The sequence below is a fragment of the Homo sapiens genome, chromosome 6, assembly GCF_000001405.40.
Source record: "Homo sapiens chromosome 6, GRCh38.p14 Primary Assembly".
In the NCBI taxonomy this organism is placed as follows: Eukaryota; Metazoa; Chordata; class Mammalia; order Primates; family Hominidae; genus Homo; species Homo sapiens.
This window is the reverse complement of record NC_000006.12, coordinates 8,545,265-8,566,976: the sequence shown is the minus strand read 5'-3', so window position 1 is coordinate 8,566,976 and position 21,712 is coordinate 8,545,265. Positions and strand designations below refer to the sequence as shown.

Sequence of the window (21,712 nt, the reverse complement as noted above, 5' to 3'; positions counted from 1 at the left end):
CCAAATGTCCAACAATGATAGACTGGATTAAGAAAATGTGGCACATATACACCATGGAATACTATGCAGCCATAAAAAATGATGAGTTCATGTCCTTTGTAGGGACATGGATGAAATTGGAAATCATCATTCTCAGTAAACTATCGCAAGAACAAAAAACCAAACACCGCATATTCTCACTCATAGGTGGGAATTGAACAATGAGATCACATGGACACATGAAGGGGAATATCACACTCTGGGGACTGTGGTGGGGTGGGGGGAGCGGGGAGGGATAGCATTGGGAGATATACCTAAGGCTAGACGACGAGTTAGTGGGTGCAGCGCACCAGCATGGCACATGTATACATATGTAACTAACCTGCACAATGTGCACATGTACCCTAAAACTTAAAGTATAATAAAAAAAAAAAAAAGAACATGGGAAAGAGAAGTAAAAAAAAAAAAGGAAAAAAAGAAAAATTTAGACATTTCTAAATTAATATTGCTAAAATATTTAAATATAGGAGAAAGGAAAAAGGGAAAGTTGAATTTATTTGAACCTTGTAGTCTCTAGACAAAGATGAAATATCACATTCTTAATTCCTAGAATTTTTTTCTTATTTAAGACACAAAACAACATTTTAGAAAAAGCAGCTTGGAATTTAAGAATCATAGGAACATTCTGGAGTCAATATATACAGGTAAGAAAGGAACTATGATAGTAATTCATTAAAAAAATGAAAAAAGAATAGGACTTCTCTCAAATCTTACAGGAATTTGTCCTTGCTGTTGCTGGATACAATCCTGGAAATGGATATTTATTATGGCCTTTTTTTCCTTCCAAAAGAAAGCAATTTAGTGTAAAAAGTAATGTTGAGTCTATTTGTGCCTGTCCACCTTTCGTTTGCTCCAAGATTTAGCCCCTAAATCAAGGCTCTGTGGCTGGCTTACATAGTTCCCCAAGACACCACCTATCCTCAGTAACCCATGGCTTATTCAAACTGATAAGTCTCTGGGATTCTGAATTTTATGGTGCAAGAGTTTAACAATATTTCTCTGAAAGTAAAAATTAGAGCAGTGTTTTTACAATATACTGGAGTGTGAAAAAAAGTGATCTATCACATTTTAGAAAATGTGATTTTTCTGTCACACTTTAGAAAAAGACTTGAAATACTACGAAAGTTAAGTAGAGTAAAATCTTACAAAAAAAGCTTTGGTTTCTGCTGTTTCAATTTAATCAAGGCTTGACCTCCTCTCCTTTCTACCACAATTCCACAAGATACCTTAAGTCTGACTTCTCCATCCTCTTGCATATCCAGGACAACCTCAAATCCCCAGAAAGGCAAATCTCTCTTGCCCTCCTCAATCTCCACCTGCCTATCACTCCCGCTTTCTTTCTCCCCTCCTTCCCCACACCCAACTCAACAGAACCCCAATGGCTAGCCCATATGGTGACTTCATGTAGGTCAAGCATAAGACAAAAGACAAGACACTTTATTGTCATGTGCTAGAAACTTTTGCAATAACTATATAAATATTTGATGACTGTGAGATAAATGGTTTCTCCAAAACCGTTCAATCTGCAAAACTACAAGCAGAGCCACACACACACACACACACACACACACCCCTACCAGGACCACTGGCTTTACAATATCGATGAATCTGGTGGAATTTCAAAAAAGGAAATTTTTTTCCTAGACTTTCCTTAAAAATACAGCGTTCAATTTACTCCATAAAATCCAGGAACATGACTTAGACATCATATGTTTCCTACTATGTCTGGCAGCTGCTGAATGAAAGAAAAGTATACTGACAGCTCTAGAAAGAGTCTCCTTCCCTTCAGTTAGGAAGTCAGGCAAAGAAGGAAGGAATTGGGCCACTAGGCAGCACCCCTGGTACCTCTTTGGAGATCCCTGGGAGAAAGAGATCTGGCCTGCCTACTTCCAGTAACAAGCATTCATAGTGCAAGCCTTTTTAGAAACCTTCAGGCAAGAGTATTGCTGAAGGTAAGTTCTGTGATCTGGAGAATTTACTGTGAATCCTAGAATAGATCTGGATGAAGACTGGTCACCATGCTCCTCTAAAATTAGACTAAGAATTAGAAGACATTAGGTGAATATATGAGAATATAGCCAGGCTCATGAGAGCGGAGGGATTTCTAAGGTGAAGAATAATGGAAAATATTGTGAAGAAGAAATTACTTATTATTATATTGCTAGCTAGCTAGCTGGATAGATGGACATGTAAACTAAAGGGAAAATTTAGGATTTCATTTAATACTAATGAGATAATGATTACATCTGGTTAATATTAAAAAGTCATACAAATAGATATAAAAAGACTAAAGCATCAAAAAGATATAAAAAGTAGCTCATTCATTTATTTATTCATTCAAAACTACTAGAACATCTCCCATGTGGCAAGCACCATCCTAGGTGTTATAAAGACAGCCATGAATAAAGAAAAGTCTATGACATAGATATTCATTCTTCATTGAGAAGACAGAAAATTAAACAAAAAATGTATAACATAATGGCTGAAATGTCAGATAATGACAAATGCTATGAAGTACTTTAAATAAATGATCAGGGAAACCTTTGGTTTTTGCAGTTTTATACATAGAAGGGCAATGTAGTCTCTTTATTTTGTAGAATATTGCTGTGGCTCATGTGTGGTAAATGCATTCTAAGAGGGCAGGAGTGAAAACAAGAAGACCTGTTAGATCATGACTACACTACAACAAGTAAAATCTGATGGCTATGGAGCTATGAGAAGTGACTGGATTCTAGATGTTCTTGAAGGTATCACTGATAGGATTTGTTTTTTGATTCTATGTACTATATGATACTAAAAAAAAAAGATTCAAAAAATACTTTCAGGTTTCTACGCTGAATAACTGGTAAATCACAGTCCCAAATATTAATATTGATCACGTTAAGGGGTGGCAATTTTAGGGGGAAAAAGTTAACATTTGGTTTCAAATATATTAAGTTAATGATGCCTGATTGACATCCAAGTGGAGTTGTTGTATAAGCAATTACATACACAAATCCAGGGGCTAGGTGGAGTTCGATAAAAGAAGATTCGGGATTTTTCAGCAAGGAGATGATATTGAAAGCCAGAGGACACCTAAGATGTCAGCATAGGTGGAGAGGAAGGTCAGAAGAAGCTAAGGGTTCTATCTGCTGGCTGGATGTTGGTGCCTTAAAAACTGTCTATTGGATACAACAGTTTTGCCAATTTGGATGGCTAAATGGATGCATAGAATAGAACCCCAGACCCTCTATGGAGTTTTACATGAGCAAGAAACAAACATCTTAACATGTTAAGCCACTTAAACTTGGAGGTTTATCTGATGCTTTAATTGGTGTTATCATAACTAAAATAGAAATTAGTACCAAGAATGGACACTAACAAAAACAAAACCCTAAAATTGGTGGCACTGGCAGGAGATAACTAGGAAACTAATATCAGAGGCTGGAAAAATGAAACCCCAAGTTAAGCAGAGGCAAAATGTTCAGTAACAATGAAGCCCACGATACCTTTGGAGGCAGGCCACTAACTTCCCTAGCCTGTGTCTGTAGCAAAAGATATTGTAAAATAGAATTATGTGAGCATGCATTAGATGTTACTAGCTTTATTTGGCAAGATATTAGAAGGAGAAATGACCACAAGAAAGAATTATCCAAAGTACACATAAAAATGAAAGGGAATAAGAAAGCATCCAGAAATTTTAAGCCTCAAAAGTTGGGAATGCTTACCTCAAACATTAATACGTAATTTTTGAGATTAAATAATGAACAGTCTTAAGATATAATTATGTGACAAAATTCCAATTGAACCAGGCCTTCAACCCAAGCCTATGGCCTTGGGGTAGATGTCATTGAGTTGAAAAAAAAATAAATGGTGATGAGAAGAAAAACAGATAGTACTACTTTAAGAATTATGTCTAAGAAAGAACTGTGGGTGCGGTAGCTGGCATATTCAACTGATTGTAAGCAAAGAGATGTAAGTCTATTAGTTGCTTTCTAATTTTTTAATTTTTATGGATACATAATAGTTACATATTTATGGGGTACATGTGATATTTTGATACAAGCATACAACATATAATGATCAATGCATAATGGTAATTGAGGGTATTCATCACCAATTACTACAAACATTTGTCATTTCTTTGTGCTGAAAACATCCCACATTTATTCTTCTAGTTATTTTGAAATGTGTCATAAATTATTTTTAACTATAGTAGCCCTATTGTGCTACCAAACACTAGATGTTATTCCTTCTATCTAACTGTATTTTGTAACTTTATCCCCTTACCCCCACTACCCTTCCTAGCCTCTGGCAGCCACCATTCTATTCACTACCTCCACGAGATCACTTTGTTTTAGCTCCTACATATAAGTGAGAACATGCAACATTTGTCTTCCTGTGCCTAGAAGAGACGACAGTCTTATTAATTTTAAAGAAAATTATATTACAAAAACAACCATGAGCTAGGACGTAAAAGCTTTTGGCTGAGCCTTGAAGCAACTCTTAGGCCACCCAACTCATACAGGCAGGAGGCAGGCAGCAAAACCTCTAGAGCCCTCAACTGCCATTGCAGCCACGGCAGATAATAGACAAGCAAAGCTTCCCAGATGGCAGAAGCAGGGGCCCCACAGAACAATGGACGGGAAAATTCCTCCCTGAGAACAGAATCAAGTTCTGACCATGGCACTTCTCTCACTGACAAGACTACATAACAGCTGTCCACAGGATTTCATCATTACCATGGACCAGTGACTACTGCATACATTGCAATTTTCTGTTTTCTGCCTAAGGTATTTATTCCAGTTATCCAGTCCTGGTGCCACCACCCATGTGGCTGGAGTAGAGGAGGCAGAAAATTTGCAACTAATCTAGTAATCTAATAAATAATTGGTAACCTTGCATATTAACAGGTTATAGTAAAGTGTGAAATATTTTGCAAAAATATTACATATATATATACACACACATATGTACACACATGCAAATATTATGGATAACTCTTAAATATATTTTTTCTTTAGCTTACTTCCAACAGACACTCAACAGTTTGACTTTTTAATGCTTTAAGTTATGTCTAATATCAGGAATTTCTGAGACAAGATTCTACAGTATTTTCATGTCATTTTAATATAAGACTTTGTAATCAAAGTCTCCATTAAACTGCTCTAGGCAACCTTGCTTGTCTACACCTATTTCATCTTTATCTACAAAAAGTACTTACGCAAGGAACTTCGTGCTGCCACTACCTCTGAATTATGTATTTTTTCAGGTCCCATAATATAGTACAAGAATAAGGAGGCCTGTAGCTAGGGAAATAGCCCCCTGTGTTAGTTTTACTTCCTCAACATCATACCCAAAGACAAAGATTTGAATGCACGTATTTGGAAATTGATCCCAAGAAACACTGGTTAGAAAGTCGGGGAGTGAGGTAAAGATGGGAAGGAAGTCGGGAAAAGCTACTTTGTCAAGCAAGTTGCCCCTCAGATGACTATAACTTTGTGCCCTGGGAAACTGTAAGATGGACGCTCAACGTGGTGCTCCTCCGTGTTGGTTCATCCACTGAGACCCACAGACCTAATCTTCTGGGTCTGTAATTGAGGGCTGCTCTTTGATGGCACTCTTTCCTCCAGTACTCCCAGACTGCTGCAGGCCCCACTGGCCAGAGACACAGTCATCAGCAATTGGAAGTCAAACCGGATTGTACGAAAATGGTAAGGACACCCGTGATGTGGGCAGCATGTGCTCTATCCACCATGCAATTTGTCAGAGAAAGCACTCATAGGTATAAGCTGCTGAGCTTAAAATATCTGAAACTCTGTCCCATCAGCATTCCTCAGGGTATTCAGGAAACATTATCAGTTAATATTTAGGATTTATTCCCAACACTTTTTACCTTTCAGTATTTAGATGAAAGTTTTCTCACTATTAAGATATTAGCAAACTAATGGCATGCTTTATATCCAGAATAAAACCCAATATTCAGCTTCTAAAACAACTTAAAACAACTTTTTTCTAAGCATAGATGAGGCTGTCATCTCCCTATAGTGCAATCAGTTCTAAATTTGCACCTATAGTATGTGACATTATCCCACTTGTGCATAAATTACATGCATTTCCAAAGGTGCTAGATATTCTTAATTTTCTTTATAGTCCATTTACAAATAGTAATACAACTGGAGGAAGAAGAATATAGTTAAGTTGTATACTGAGTAATATATAATTTAATCATTCTAAAAATTGCCATAGATCAATTTAAGAGCAGATAATGTTCCTGCGAATAACAGAGAACCAATTGCATGTATTTACATCAATACTGTCTGTTTTAGATTATAAACTCCTACAGGGCAGGGATAATTTTGTTTAAATTTCCTTGACTAAAGGCTTAGTACCATACCATGTACTTAAAAAAAGGCTTTTTTTTAATGTAAGTATTAATATTTTGATCCTAACAATGTTCAAAAAATTATTGTATGGTTCCATTCCAGTCAACTGTATGGATTTGGCTTTTTTAAAGTTCTGATATAAGCCGGGCACGGTGGCTCACACCTGTAATCCTAGCACTTTGGGAGGCCAAGGTGGATGGATCACCTGATGTCGGGAGTTCAAGACCAGCCTGGCCAACATGGCAAAACCGTCTCTACTAAAAATACAAAAATTAGCCAGCATGGTGGCAGGCACCTGTAATCCCAGCTACTTGGGAGGCACCAGAATTGCTTGAACCCAGGAGGCAGAGATTGCAGTGAGCTGAGATCATGCCACTGCACTCCAGCCTGAGTGACAGAGTAAGACTCTGTCTCAAAAAAAAAAAAAAAAAAAGAAAAAAAGTTTTTGTATAATCTACATATAGGCTCTGTTGAATATCATGCAAGTTGTTCAGAAGTTGTCTGTAAACTAAATTCTGCCTGAATTATTCTGCCAACCCATATCCCAGCTTCAATTTAATTTAGGGACCAGCATGCTTTGAACAGAAAAGTTACCCGTGGTGGTTATTCACACTGCTCAGTTTTATCACATCCCCTTCTCGTTCAGGCACCTGGTAGAGTTCAACTTTCTGGCTCCCTGAAGCTTGCACAGGGCCCTGAACTAGTTCTGGGTAAGTACAAATGACATAAATTATTTAAGACCAAAATACATAATTGCTGGCTTGAGACTATCCCAAATTCTATTTCCCTCTATCAAAACAATTGGTTATATTCTGAAGAAATGTCTGCTCCATTTCTGAAGTTCTAGAGTGAGGACACATGGAAACACTCCCTACTGATCCATGCCGGAAATTCAGCATGAGTGAGAAGTAGGCCTTTGGGACTGTAAACCACTTAATGTGGGGAGTTGTTTGTTCCTCCAGATCACACTTTTCACCCTAGTCAGCTGCAGGAGGCCAGTCTAAAGAGTCAGTCCATTAGATTTCTTGCCCACTGGCTCCAGATTGGATTATATTATTAGAGAGATCTGGCAGAATATCAGAGGGAAGGAGGTGAATAAGGAAGGAGTATTTATATTCCCTTAGCTCACAAGTTCCCATTTCCCTCCGCGACGACTGTGGCTCTTCTCAAGGTGGCCCCTCCTTAGGAGCCTCTCTTTCCCGGTAATTCACCCCTTCAAGCATAGGGTTAGAAATAGACCCTGTGTTACTAGCCTTGGATACACTCTATCTCATGGCTCACCTGTTTCCCATCTACACCTTTGTAAGTAGCCCCTTTATTGGATATTCTTTGAATTACTCTATTGGAATGAGCCATCTGTTTCCTGCCATAACACCAACTGATACGTTTTTACAGCCTGTACTGCCTGGTTTACTCATTCCACCAATAAAACATGACATTGTTCACATAACGTTCTTCCTGAACGACTGTGGTTTCCTCTACATTCAACCTTGCCAAAATCAAGGAAGAGGCTGGAGATCTAAATTCCACTATCCTCTCAACAGTATTTATACAATAGAACTCTTTCCCCCAGACAATAATGCCGTTATGTCTGAGAAAGCAATGGCACTCCTAAATTACAATTTGTTGCTCCTCTGTCCAACCCCAGCCTATTTTAAAACTGCAGTACTGATTCTTTCGCATCTTAGGGAACTTTGAGAAAGCAAGGTCTTTGATATCATTCCTTCCTCCTCACATTAGCTCCAAGCATCTTCCCCCAGGTTGAGTTTATTTTTGTTTAGTGTGCCGAAAGAAAAGTCTTCAAAAAAATAATGTTCATAGAGAGTTGATTAGTGATTCCAGATACTGGATCTTGATAGGCCTGACATACCTTCAGTATCTTAATAAAGCAATTCATTTAGCTAGTTAAGAAATGGACAGATCACTTACCTACTTAGAACCCCAGAAAGACTTGTTTCATCTTGCACTTAAGAGTTCAATGACATCACCTTAAAAAAAATCATAAAAGGATCTCAAATACATACAATAAAATTTGAAAAAGAGAGAGAAACTAGTAAATTACAGATTATCATCTATGAAGTATGTTCAAAAGCACAGTTTAACAAGCCTATATTTAAAATTACTACAAATAAAAGTGATTTTGCCATTAGAGGTAATTTATGTTTTATGTACGTTTGACTTATCAAATTATCTCCTAGAAGTCCAATCCAAGTTTGTTGGAGACAGATAAACATTCTATCTCCCTAAAAATTACTGTTTTGTTTTCCTTTCCTGGATAGTGCTTCTTTATCCTTGATTTCTAACATTTGTGTAGCATTTCACAATTTCAAATCCTTTTCATATACGTTGGTAGTTCTTAGCCTTTTGCAATTTGTGGAGACTTTTAAGGATCTGATGACAATAATGAACATTCTCACCAGAATTTCATGCATGCAATGTTGGAGGGTTCATTGATGTCCTAAAATCCATCCAGGGTTACTAACTCCAGTAATCCATAGGTTAATCCTCACAACATCTCTATGAGGTAGGTATTGTTATCACTGTTTTTTAATTAAGAAAATTAATCTGCATGGGGTTCAATTACTTGTCCAAATCATGCAGGAGAATTTGGTGTTAAACTGAAGCCTTTTGACATGACAACCATGTTTTTCCTTGTGTCTCATGACAGCCTCCTACTTTTGTTGATGTGAATCGACACCTATATTACACTATTTTATTTAATGAAGGTACAGTCAAAATCTACTAGATAAGAGTCCCAAACATACAAAATTTTCTAAATAAATCAGGCTAAAAATCTCATCTGATCTCCAAATCATAGATCTATTTTGCTTTTAGATTCAGTTAAATCTCTAATCTATAGAAGTCATTCACTCAGAAGCATTTCAAGCTTATCCCATGGTGCTATGCAAAATTAAAAGCAAATATCTATTCCCAAAACATAGATGTGGTTCACATTTTAAACAGCTCTCACTTTCTCTGTTTTCCTGTCAGTATCCATGTACATCCAGCTTGGACTCTGGATCCATGGCCATAGTCCCTGCCTGTTTGGTCTTCCTTCATTTACTTCAACTAAATTCTCAGATTTTCTGACCAAGGATACCCAAAGCCTCTATTTTACTATTAGGTCGAGTCATATGAAACTGTAATCAGCTAGAAAGAGTAGAATATTGTCAGTTTAATAACATTCAGTTTTGTTTAGCTTTAGTGTCCTGACCTGTTGATGTTCAAGTCTTATGGGGAAAAGAAGAAGAACATGATTCCAAGAAGACCTGGTTCTAATGCACTGTGCCATTTAGCAATTGCTTCAAGAGAAACACTTAAATTCTCTGGGTAACAATTCCTTATCTGAAAATGAGGACAATATGATTCACAATTGTGTCACAAGATTGTGGGGAAATATTCCACATGATAATATCACCTGCGAAAGTGCTTCAAAAATTGTTAAAGCACTATACACATTTAGGTTGCTGTTATTATAGTCAGCAAAGATGCCTTCACCAGCAAAAGCAGCATTAATTTTTTTTTAAGAGCAGTAGAATCATATGTCCACTAAATTACTCACTGCAAATGTCCAGCCATCACTAGTACCCCTCACATGTTGGTGCTGGTTTATTTATATATATTTATTTACATCACATTGTGATGACTTGCTTGGTCAGCTTTACAGAAGAGCTGATGACCTGGTTCCTACATTGAACATAAGCCAGCAGATGAGTCACTTAAGAGACACAGAGAAATTGCATGATGTAATTGTCTGCCCACTGAAATCACATAATGAATTTACTATCTGGTATTAAATTACCACTTTGCCATAAACAACACCAACCTAATGGTCTTAAAAAATAACTGAAATAAAGAAGGGAAAGTTATTTGTAAATAGTGTATGTGAGATTTTTAAAGATATTGTGGTAAAATTGTGTTTTATCAGAATTTTAAAAATGCACTAGGGCTTATGTTTAACAACTTTCCTGCCTTCTAAAGGTTGAGTAAACAATATTGCAGTATGACTTTCAACATCAGGGCCAAGCCCTTCAGTAAATAAAGCCAAAATGAATTGTATCATTGACTACAAAATGTGCACGGCAAATATAAAACATGAGTAAAAATCAAGTGGAGGCATCAAAGACCTTTCAGCAACTGTTTTCTAGGCTTGTAAAATTCAGCTGGAGAAATTGGTACAGAATAAGTTTACAAAATAATGAATTTCCTACTATGTTATAGATCTTGAAGAAAAAATCAAAATAAAATGCAATTCCTCAAAAAGGCCAGTTTTTTATGATTTGACACCTAACTTATGACCCTAAAACCAACAATAACTGCTGTCACTTCAATAGCCTTTGTAAACATTTCATGGTCAGGTTCTCTTAGGATGCAAATCTGTAACAATTAAACAGTTTATGAATAAAACAACTCAGGACATAAATCTCAGGTTTCAAACGTGTGTACAAATAATTTTTACTTTATCTTTTTTTACAATTCATTTCTGTCTTGAGCCTCCATTCTATTCAGTAGTCAAATTTAGGGTTAATCAGTCAGTGCAGTATTTCCTCAGTCTGTGACTAGCTTGACGATATTCTCTACTCACTCATTATCCAAGGGCTGTCACCTTAGTTTCAAGGAGTCTATGTGGTGCCACTGAGGTGCCATCCTCAGTGAGAATGGGAGGATGTCATCTTCTCTCCCCATGATCAGATGATAAGGCATTCAAATTTTTCCTGTTTCTGGCCGTTGGTATCTAACCATATCGCCATGTGCCCACTCTCATTGGGTCTTAGATCATTGCTTCATGGAAGTCACTTTGCATCTTTTAAGACTCTGCTATGAGGACCCTTCATGTCCACTATCTCTGTCTCTCCTCTATTTATGTGCCTCTGTAAGGAGGAGGTGGAGGGGAAGAATAAAATATACAATGCAATATGTTGGTAGATAGAGTTTAGAAAGGACTTCTTCCCTATTTAGAGGATAAACCTAATGGTTCTCTCTGCTTTTCTCATACTGGTCATCCCAAGCTTTACCCACTTGAGTATAGGCTTTGGATTCAGAGAGTGCATTCAATCCCAAAGTCCACCACTTTGGAAAAGTTTCTACTTTTACCTTGGATACCTCATCTACAAAACAAGTATAATAGTATCTCCCTCATAGGGTTGTTGCAAAGATTAAAGGAGATAATAAATGTAAAAATAATTAGAGCATTGTATGATGTATAATAATCATTCAATAAATGATATCTATTGTCATCATTATCTCTCCTCTCTCCATGCGGTCCTCCAGCTTCTCCTACTCATAGCAATGCATCAATTTATATGACTCCAGTCAAAAGACAGCAGGGTCAACCCTGAGTTTATTAATAAAAGTGGAACACAATGTTGGTTAGGAGAAGACATTTTTACAAGATCCCAAGTGTTGGTCTCAACCCTTGCATACATGAGTGTGTGGCATTCCTTACCACTGTAGAAAATGTCCCCACATGCCTAAAATATATCATTCTAATGTAGGCATAGAGAGTTACTATTTGAATCCAGTCATTAATACCTATTTAATGTTATAATCACCAACCACAGTTGGATATTGTAAGTAAGGAAGGAGATCAGTATGAATTCTGTCAGCTTTCATCTGTTTCTTTTCCTGAAAGTATCCAATTTTAAATCCAAATAACCAGTTCTTCCAAAGTATTTACAGTGAAAAAGCACCAAAGATTAAATCAATCCAGAATCACCTCATGAGTAACTAGCCCAGTAAGTTAATTACAGGATTCTTTGTTGCTCTCTTTTATTGTGGGTAAGAGTTCTTGATGCAATATTTTTGGTTAATTGAAGATTTTCTTTAAAACTATGCAAGACAGCCAGCAAATAGTGCATTTATGTATGTAATAGAAATGGTTGTAATATATCATTAAGACACTCCAGGGCATGTTTTATTGGTTCATTAATACAGTACATGCCTTAGGTGTATTCAACCACTCGGGCCCTATATTAATGGACCAATAAAATGTACCCGGGAGTGCCTTAATGCTACCCTAACATGGCTAAGTTTAAATTAATTTTTTCAGGCTTATCTTTTTAAAAATTATTTTTTCCCACTTGGGAAGATAGATTCCTTTACAGGGGGGAAAAAAGTTCATAGTAACAGAATAAGAAGAAGCAGGATAATAAAAATCTTTTGGTTTTATCAGTTTTCCAAAATGGCTCATCCTTTCATATGGTTCCATTTCTAATCTCCTGCATTCCATTCCCAGGGTCTTCTCATATCTTTCATAGAAATCAATAATCTTGTGGCTAGGAGCAGGAAACTAATAACTATTTCTTTTTGGAACTAGGAGATCAAGAACCAGCAAATGTCATGTCTACCCATAAAAGCCCTGTTACCTTTCAATCTTTCACTGGGTCAGAACAAATACTTACCTTGCTTTTTCATCTACCTCCTAGCACCTTCTGTAATCAAGGAATGATGCTTCCTCTTAAAAGGAAAACAATTCTTTCATCCTTCTCTTTCTGCTTATCATCCACATTATACTCCCTCACACAGCTTTTTAGAAATTCTTGGATTCTACGTTGGGTTATTTAGGAATCCACTTGATAACAGAAATTTGAGGAAATCTGAGGAAGGTATAAAAGTGTTTAACCCAGCTCCAAACTGAGTTAAAAATCTTAGCCTTACTGTGGACTTACTGGGTGATATCGGTCTAAAAGTTTCCAGTTCCTCCTCAGCAAAAGGACAATAATGTCTGTCTTACAGGCAGAGCATGAATACTAAATGAGATAATGCATGCAAAACACGAGGTATAAAGCCTGGCACATTGAGACCATGGGGTGTTAGTGGTAGTTTTTGTTATTAACTTCTGAAATGCCACTGAAGAAATGAGGATGGATGACAACAGTTAAACAGTTTGGACTTCCCCAAGAAATGCTGACAATTTAGCCATCTAGAGTATACAAAGTAGATGCCCCTTCTCACCCTCCTCCTTTTTTTTTCCTAAAGCACAAGACCTTTAAGGGGTGCCTAAGAAACAGAGTACAGAGTAGGGCTTCCTAATTTCTTTACCAATGGTTTAATTTTTCTTAAGACTGTAGTCATGTAGAGATGTTTATCACCACTGATGTCATGAATGTCATAAATAAGTACTACAATGTGGAAAAACACCATTCTTGACTAGAACTAGAGTCTCTGTCTTCAAAGAGGTTATCTTTTAGTTGAAACAACCAAATATATGAAGAAGTTTAAGTAACAATACAAGATAGATTGTATGTGCCACAGGAGTTTTTTATTCAACTTTAAAAATAATGGAAGAGGGTCCTGTGAAAAAGATTAATCACAAAAGGAGTCAACCAAGATGCAGGATCTACACAGCACTCTTAGTTTATTGAGGAAAGGGGTAAATTTTGAACTGGGCATGATGAACTGAAAAGAGAGATGTAGAAGTAATTCACCTTGGGGAATGGGGCCAAAAATAATGTAATTTTACCAGCGAGCTTTTGATGAACAATATTTGGGTCAGAAGAATCTTGGAGAGCACTAGTGGGAGATGCATTTGGGCTACTCCACCTTTCAGGTCGTAGAAAACGAATACAGGAATTTTGGTCAGGGAGGTGACATAAAATAAAAGCAGTATTTTAAAAATATGTTAATTACTGTGATGCCTAGCATGAACTGGAAGGAGGTGAGATGGTATCAGATAGATCAGTTGAAAAAGGATTATCATATTCCATATTTGAAGTCGTTGGATCCTAAATAAGAAAAACATGAAATAAAATAGAAGAAGAAAGTTCAACAAAAGTTGATAAATATTTGATTGTAAATATGCAAGGGAGAGGAAAGAGAAAGCAAACAAGAAAACCAAAAAGTTGAAGAAATGGGAAAATTATATAACTATTTGCTCCATTTAATTTGCTTAGCATAGAAAAAATAATTTTTCAATATGAGCCTCACATGTTCCTAGAATAAAAAAGGCTGAGAAAGTAAAAGCACTATCATTATTTAAAAATACAGTTAAAAAGTAAATAGCTCAACAAAGGTGGGTCAGTTGCATGTATTAATTTAATGTATGTAGAAAAGTACACTTTGTCAATCATCATAGCACAAAATATAGCAACTCTGAAAAACCTCATTTCTTTCATTTTGCCGAAATGATTTTCTTCATCGGAACCCTGACTTCTTCTTTCCACTTACTTAAATAATATTTATTTTTCAAGGCCCATCTTCTCTAAGAAAATTTCCTTGACTGCTCAAACACACATTGAGCACCCTTCCTTCCTTGAACTCCTGGAGCCTTTGCTGAATTAGCCACTTAATTTAGCACTAAATTATGCATGGCAGCAGCACACAAGTCAGCATAATTATAAGAGAAAGAGGCAACAGTAGGGAATAGAGCTCACATTTCACAAAGTTTACCACGCCTACTCCCGTTTCTCCAAAAAGAGGAATTCTATATACAGTTGGAAGAATGGTTGCATCATTGCAATGTGTATATCTACTCTCAGGATAATTGCATTATAAAATACTACATCTCCATTTAGTGATTCAAGTAAAACATGAATTCATTAGATCAAAGTTGCACCTCATTATACCCATAGATTTACATGTTTGAGAGATAGGAAGGGTGCCTTTTATTAATTTTTTTGCCCAATTTGCACAGAAGAAAATTACCATAAATATGTGATGATTTACTAGGAAATTTCAATAATTATGTGAACCCTTTAAGAAACTATATACTTTAATTTTCCAAATATCTGCCCCAACTCAAGGATGGTATAGCCAAGGCTGTCCCAGCAATGACTGCCAGGGCCATGTCTTCCAAGGAGCCATAGCAGGGTGAGACGGAGCATTTGGGGAAGAGGGGTCTGCCCATCAGAGGTCATCCAAAGTAAGAAAATCCAGAAAGTCAAGAGAAGCCAAAATCCATTAAGGAAAGCAATGAGTAAAAGCTAGAGAGAATAGTATTTGGAACTAGAAGCCAAAGAGCCAGCGGCATATCAAAGCTGGGGTACATTGCCAAGAGTCAGAGCTGAGATTAGTGAGAAAAACATCCAGTGATAGCCTATCAGTCCTAGTGTTGCAAATTTAAAACAATTGCTTAAAAATAGCTTTGGAACATTTGAGACTAGATTTAATCATACTGAGTTAAAGACATTGTTCTCATTTATCTTGACACCCTTTTGTTTTTGCATTTATTTCTACTATCTTTTGTGTGTCTAGACACAGTCTCAAAGATGATTGTTAATTTCAATAATTTGCCCCAAATTCAAATTTTAAGTTTTAGAGTCACTATATTGTCTCTTTACTATGTACATTCATTTTTTTAACTCTCTATACAAATTTTGAAAACTACACATTACCCATAAACCTTGAAGCTGACAATACATTTTCATGATCATTGCACAATGATATCATAGGGAAACAATGTCATTATTAATTTAAAACCAAATAGGAAGACAGAAATTTTATAGATTTCCAGTCACATGGCTCAAATTCCATCATCAAATAAGAATCTTTAAGTAGATTTCAGTTTTGTCAATAACTATTCAAGGTCATATTTTAGAATCTGAAATTCTCCCCTCGCCCCCCATTATCTCTGTAATTTAGGCTCAAAAACTGGATTTATTACAGATGGTCTTCTACACTACCATGGAAATAATTGTACCAGCCTTTCTGGAAGGCAATTTGGCTATGCATACTAAAAGCTTGCAAATAACCTTATCTCTCTATCAGAGAGATCCTGTCTGTGCTGTGTGAATTTTTCCTAAGGAAACAATCATGGATGTTGAAAATATTTGTCTATAAGGAGATGTCCATCACATCATTGGTAATTATAGCTTTTTTAAAAAATCCAAAGGTACAAAATAAGAGTGTGGCTAAGTAAACTATAAAAAATCTATGTAATGAAATTAACCACAAAAAAAAATGTTGTGGAAAAACATTTAATAAATATAGAATGATGCATTACTAAGTATATGAAAAAATCATCTTCTCACATAGTCTGATCCTCACATAGCATTTAACATCTGATCTTCTTAAAACATTGAAAAAGAACAAGCAAGAGGAACCTAGTTGATAGAAAATGTTAGAATTCTTTATTTCTGTTTGTTCTTAGAATACAGCATGAGCTCCTTCCTATATTAAACATCCCATATGACTATCTAGTTCCTCTCATTCCAACTTATTATTAGCCACTTTCCTTTCTGCTCACTACTGTCCACTCATTTGTGCTCTGTTCCTGAAATGTACCAGTGGTCTTGCAGCCTTGGGGCCTGGCCATTTGCAGTTCCTTCCAACCAGAATGTTATTCTTCCATTCACCATCCCTACCGCCTCTCCCTGACTCTCCTTCAGACCTCACATTAAAACACATCCTCACAGGAGCCCAACCCAATCCCCAGTTTAGAATAAGTCCATTATTAGATATCCTCAAAGAACTCTGGACCCAGTTTTCACAGCGTTTAAATCTATTTTAATCATTTAGTCATTTTGTGGCAATCTGTTTAGTATCTGTTATCTCTAATAGACCAAAAACTCCATAAAGGTATGAAATGTGTATTTCATCTATTAGGCATCCAATAAATTGTTGCTGAATGAATGAAGTTATGGGTATTATTTACTTTTTTCTCTTCTAAGTTTCTACAGCAAGCATGTGTAACTTTTATAATAAGAAAAAGCTTAGTTGCCAAAAAAGTCTAATTGAAATATTCTAATACTAAATAACATCAGGATTAGGAAGGTCCTGGAATTATTCAGTTTATATCCACATTCCATTTTCTTGCTAAGATAAACTAATCATTACTTTAAAATCAGGATTTAAATATCTCTGTTACATATTTTGAACTTGAATTTGATTTCCTATTTTTTCGCTGTAACCATTAGAAGCTCCTCAAAGTAAGAACATAAAATACCAAGCAGGAAGTCTCCGTGTGTGTGTGTGTGTGTGTGTGTGTGTGTTGAAAAGAATTTTGCCTTAAGTTAAGAAGCTACTTCTCAGATAGTAAGTACTAAAATAGGAATTTCATGGGTCAGATCAAAAGAAGAGACAACTCTTAAACAGTGGAATGGTCCATTGGTATGTGCGAACTGATATTATCTTCTACTTCTTTCTTTCAGCCTTGACCTATGTAACAAAGAATTTGGTTTTCACTATTCAACCAATGTGAAAATGACTGCCAACCTTCTACATGATCCACAGTCTTAGTCTGTGATTCTTTTTTGATGAGAACAGATCCTTGTGTTTGTACTTGTCTTCGTTTTTTTTTTTTTCTGTCTCAAGTTGCTTCTCTGTTTTTAAGCACATAAAATGTATTTCAACACTTAACAACACAAGAAGTGTAATCAAGAGCTACAAAAACGTTCCAGCTAAGTTTCCCTTTTGAAGTGATAACCAAGTATTGCTACACAGGCGGACCCCCATGGAAGCTTAATAGTATGTTATAAAAACCCTTTTCAACACTAAACAGGAAAGTAAACCTGCCAAATTTACTTTAAAATATGAAATTAATTTCCTGCTGCAGTCTCACTGCCAAAATAATTTCATCCAATGTTGAAGGTTCGTAAGTTGAATCTTTTCCTAAAAATTGGAAATTAAATGCTGTGTTTCTAATTAAGCCTCAAGTTATGATTTCTACTTGAGAAAAAGAACAAATATAGTTACTTCCTCTTCAGGGGATCTGAATTGTTCAATATGTGTAAGGTTCTTGATAATATTTTAAGTTTATTATTAACCTGGCAGAAAACAGTTTCATAACTGGGTGTAATTTTAATAAAATAAAATATAACTGCATTATTATAAATGCCTCTTCTTGACTTTCTCCTAATCTGTCCAAATTCAGTGCTTCTGGTGGAACCACTTGAGTTCACATAGATTTATCTCACCCTATAAAAGCACAATTCATTAAATAGACTAGTCTATTTAAACTAAGGCAATTTTATCACAGTCAATTTAATTATTTAACACTGCTTTTTTAACTCACTACTTAAAGCTTTCTTTTGACAAGTATTTCTTTAAATAAATGAGTTGTAATTTAAAGAATGAAAAAAGATCAAGTCGCCTTACAATATATGCAATTAGCCTATAGGGAGATGTTTTGCTGATACAAACCTAAGTTTGATTTGAAAGTTTAACTGAATCTCAAGTAACAGAATCCACCAAGGTTATTTTTCAGCAGAAATAAACAAAAAGAAACTTCCTATGTGCAATTAACTTTACTTTCCTGTGTTGGTTGCATTTTCATTTAAAGGGGTAACATTTTGGCCAAGTCTGCATAATTAAACAATCAGTGATCATCTGAATAATTTATTTTAAAGATAATGTAATCTGAAATATGCAGAACCGACTTTCTCATCCTACTAAATGATAATCTGGTTAGTGACTCTGTAAAGTAGTTATAAACCATGGAATGAAAAGTTTAATAATTGCCTAGTTGAGTGTTAACAAAAACAAGATTTGCACTACAGATTAAACGAGCTGGGTAAGGAATGTTGCCATAATTAAAGAAAAAAGAATTCAAATGTGTTTGGAGCACTGTGCGTTTGTCAAGCAGTGTCTTCATCAAGGCAATATCATTAGTTTTTCATTTGTGTTATCCAAAAAAAAATAAGGTGAAAAGGTTCAAAGGAACATGCTACATTGTCTGTCATTTTATGAAAGGATTACTGCGATGTACATGCAGCTTTTGATATGTGATTTATGAAATGAAGCTCATGACTTTTAGTCAGATTTCAGGTAGCCTTGCTCCTAAATAGAAATACTCAAAATATATTATTGTGACTCAGATGTTTCAGGCAAAGGGAATTCTTGGTACTTGGCCTTTCATATTTTTGTTTATCTTTCTTTTTATTATTAAGAAATAGCTAAAGATGACCTTCATTTATCCGGTATAGCCACTCCCTATATTTTAGTAAGCAACTCATTGGAGCAAATTACTTCTGTTAGTATCGATTAGAGAATCAATAAGTTTTATCAAAAACAATTGAATAATTGTCCAGAAGTAAACTCTTCATTATACTGGAATCACCTAGAAATTAAATGCTGTATACTGAGATACATCCAAAAAGGCAGTGTTAAACTTAAGGATAGCTCTGTATGCCCTCAGACCTACTTTGCCCTTCTATATCCTAAAAATGAAATACATACTTTTTAATGAAGCATAACAATATTTTCATAGGACCTAAGCTCCTATGAAACCAATCACAGTTTATAAAAACTAAGAGCTAGCCAGGCACGGTGGCTCACGCCTGTAATCCCAGTACTTTGAGAGGCCAAGGCAGGGGGAATCCTTGGGCTCAGGAGTTCGAGACCAGCACGGGCAACATGGTGAAACCCCGTCTTTACAAAAAAAAAAAAAAAATCAAAAATTAACTAGGCGTGGTGGCTCATACCTGTAATCCCAGCTACTCAGGAGGGTGTGGCAGGAGGATCGCTTGAGCCCAGGAGGTTGAGGCTGCAGTGAGCCGAGATGGCACCACTGCACTCCAGCCTGGAAGACAGATTGAGACCCTGTCTCAAATAAAACAACAATAACAAAAAAAAAAAAAATAAAAGCCAAGTTGGAGATCATCCTGAAAGCTTCATTTGGATGTGAATTCACGTGTGTTAATTACCTCATTTAGGAGTACAAAGGTAAGCCAAGTTATATCTGGAGGAAAATGACAGAAAAGTCTACATGAAAATTTCCAAACAAAATGCAGTTGTAATTGTGTGTGTTTACTTTAGTGACCTGTTTCATGCCCATCGTTCGCCTTCTGCAGTAGACGTGTCCGGTGTCCCATCCCAGTCAGTTCTGTCTCTGCCCTAAACATTCAGTTTAGTTCTCCTATGCATCACCACACCACTGATAAACAGCGGCCAAGATTGAGGACACCCCAGTGTGTGGCGAGATTCTTGTAGCTGACAAAGCTGATAATGGCAAAATCAACATTCACGAAATAGTTCTCCACAACAAGGACCTAAATTATTCATCCTGGTTTATCAGAAAGTACAAGGATGTATCTCTCTGAGCTATCTCTAAATTCCAATTATATACTCTCATTCCACATTGAAAAGTAAGGATTGCAAAGGCCTTTGAACCATCACATTGAGCAACAAATGGGTTTTAAAAAGGCTTTTTGGACATACTTCATATTAAAAATATTACAATAATATATATTATAATTATAAATGTAATATTACATAGGCAAATATGAATTTATCAGTGAATTCTCAATAGCATATCTTATTTAAAATGGTATAATTGGTTTTTTTTGTTTGTTTTTTTTGTTTTTGTTTTTTTTTTTTGAGATGTAGTCTTATTCTGTCACCCAGGCTGGAGTGCAGTAGGGCGATCTCGGCTCACTGCAACCTCCACCTCCTAGGCTCAAGTGATTCTCCTGCCTCAGCCTCCTGAGTAGCTGGGCTTACAGGCATGTGCCACAACGCCTGGCTAATTTTTGTATTTTTAGTAGAGACTGGGTTTCACCACGTTAGCCAGGATGGTCTCAATCTCCTGACCTTGTGATCTGCCTGCCTCGGCCTCCCAAAGTGCTGTGATTACAGGCAGTAAATACTTGCACAGCCAATTATTTGTTAAAATTGTATGTGCTACAAAGTGGTGTAGGGTGGGTTTGGGATGGAGAGTAAAGAATGGACTTCACTTTGAGATGAGACCTAGTCCAGGACATCAAGGAAGTCTCCTTGGAGAGGTTCCATTTGAGATGGGTCCAAAAGTTGACAGGAATTCAGCAGAAAAGGGAAAGAAAGAGCATTCAAGGCAGAACTGTTGGGCTCTTTACAGGAAAGCTGACTAGAGAGTAGAGAGCTAGGAAGTTTTGCTCCAAATAGACTGGTAGAGTAGGCAGCAGCCTGGTCATGAAGGACCAGACTAAAAGGGTAGATTTCAAGATTACAGCCCTGAAAATGAATTACATGTGAGCAAAAAGCCAACTAAATGAGCTTGTAGGATATGCAGACAGAACTGAGATTGGAGGGTGCAGAAGTGAGAGTGATGAGGAGGGGAGGGAGCTGCCTACAGCCTTTCAGGAAAATCATGTTTTCTTTTGGCTTGCCAAGAGTCTCGCCTCAGGCTGTCTTTGACTTCTTGTCTTTGTAGCCTGAAATTATATATTCCTGTCTCATCATTCTGTGGGTGCTTCCTGCCTACTTCTGGAGGTTAACCAACCAAGTCTACAGGAACACACACCACCTAGCTCTGTCCATGTAATATACTACAGAGGGTGGAAATGCACAATGCTTAAATCTTCACTTGTCCAATGGATGTTTAACTCATTCACTATTTCCATCCTCACACAATGAAGACAGGTGAGCCTTTGGACTCTGCTACTTCAAGATATTTA

The 21,712-nt window shown here is 36.4% G+C and overlaps 1 long non-coding RNA gene across 2 annotated transcripts in view, besides 1 other annotated feature; it reads right to left on the bottom strand.

Moving 5' to 3' along the window:
• The window catches only part of LOC100506207 (uncharacterized), a 349,823-nt gene that overhangs the window by 218,469 nt on the left and 109,642 nt on the right, over positions 1-21,712 (bottom strand). For both annotated transcript variants that reach the window (NR_038980.1, NR_038979.1), the window contains exon 3: positions 8,334-8,392. This is a non-coding gene — a long non-coding RNA (uncharacterized LOC100506207). The remainder of the gene's footprint in view (positions 1-8,333; positions 8,393-21,712) is intronic.
• Positions 10,893-11,062: an enhancer, noted in NCBI's record as "experimental_96383 CRE fragment used in MPRA reporter constructs". NCBI's record gives its function as "activates a minimal promoter by MPRAs in K562 erythroleukemia cells, with activity observed for both the introgressed and non-introgressed 6:8556233 variant alleles {active_cell/tissue: K562}" and the evidence as "EXISTENCE:reporter gene assay evidence [ECO:0000049][PMID:34662402]".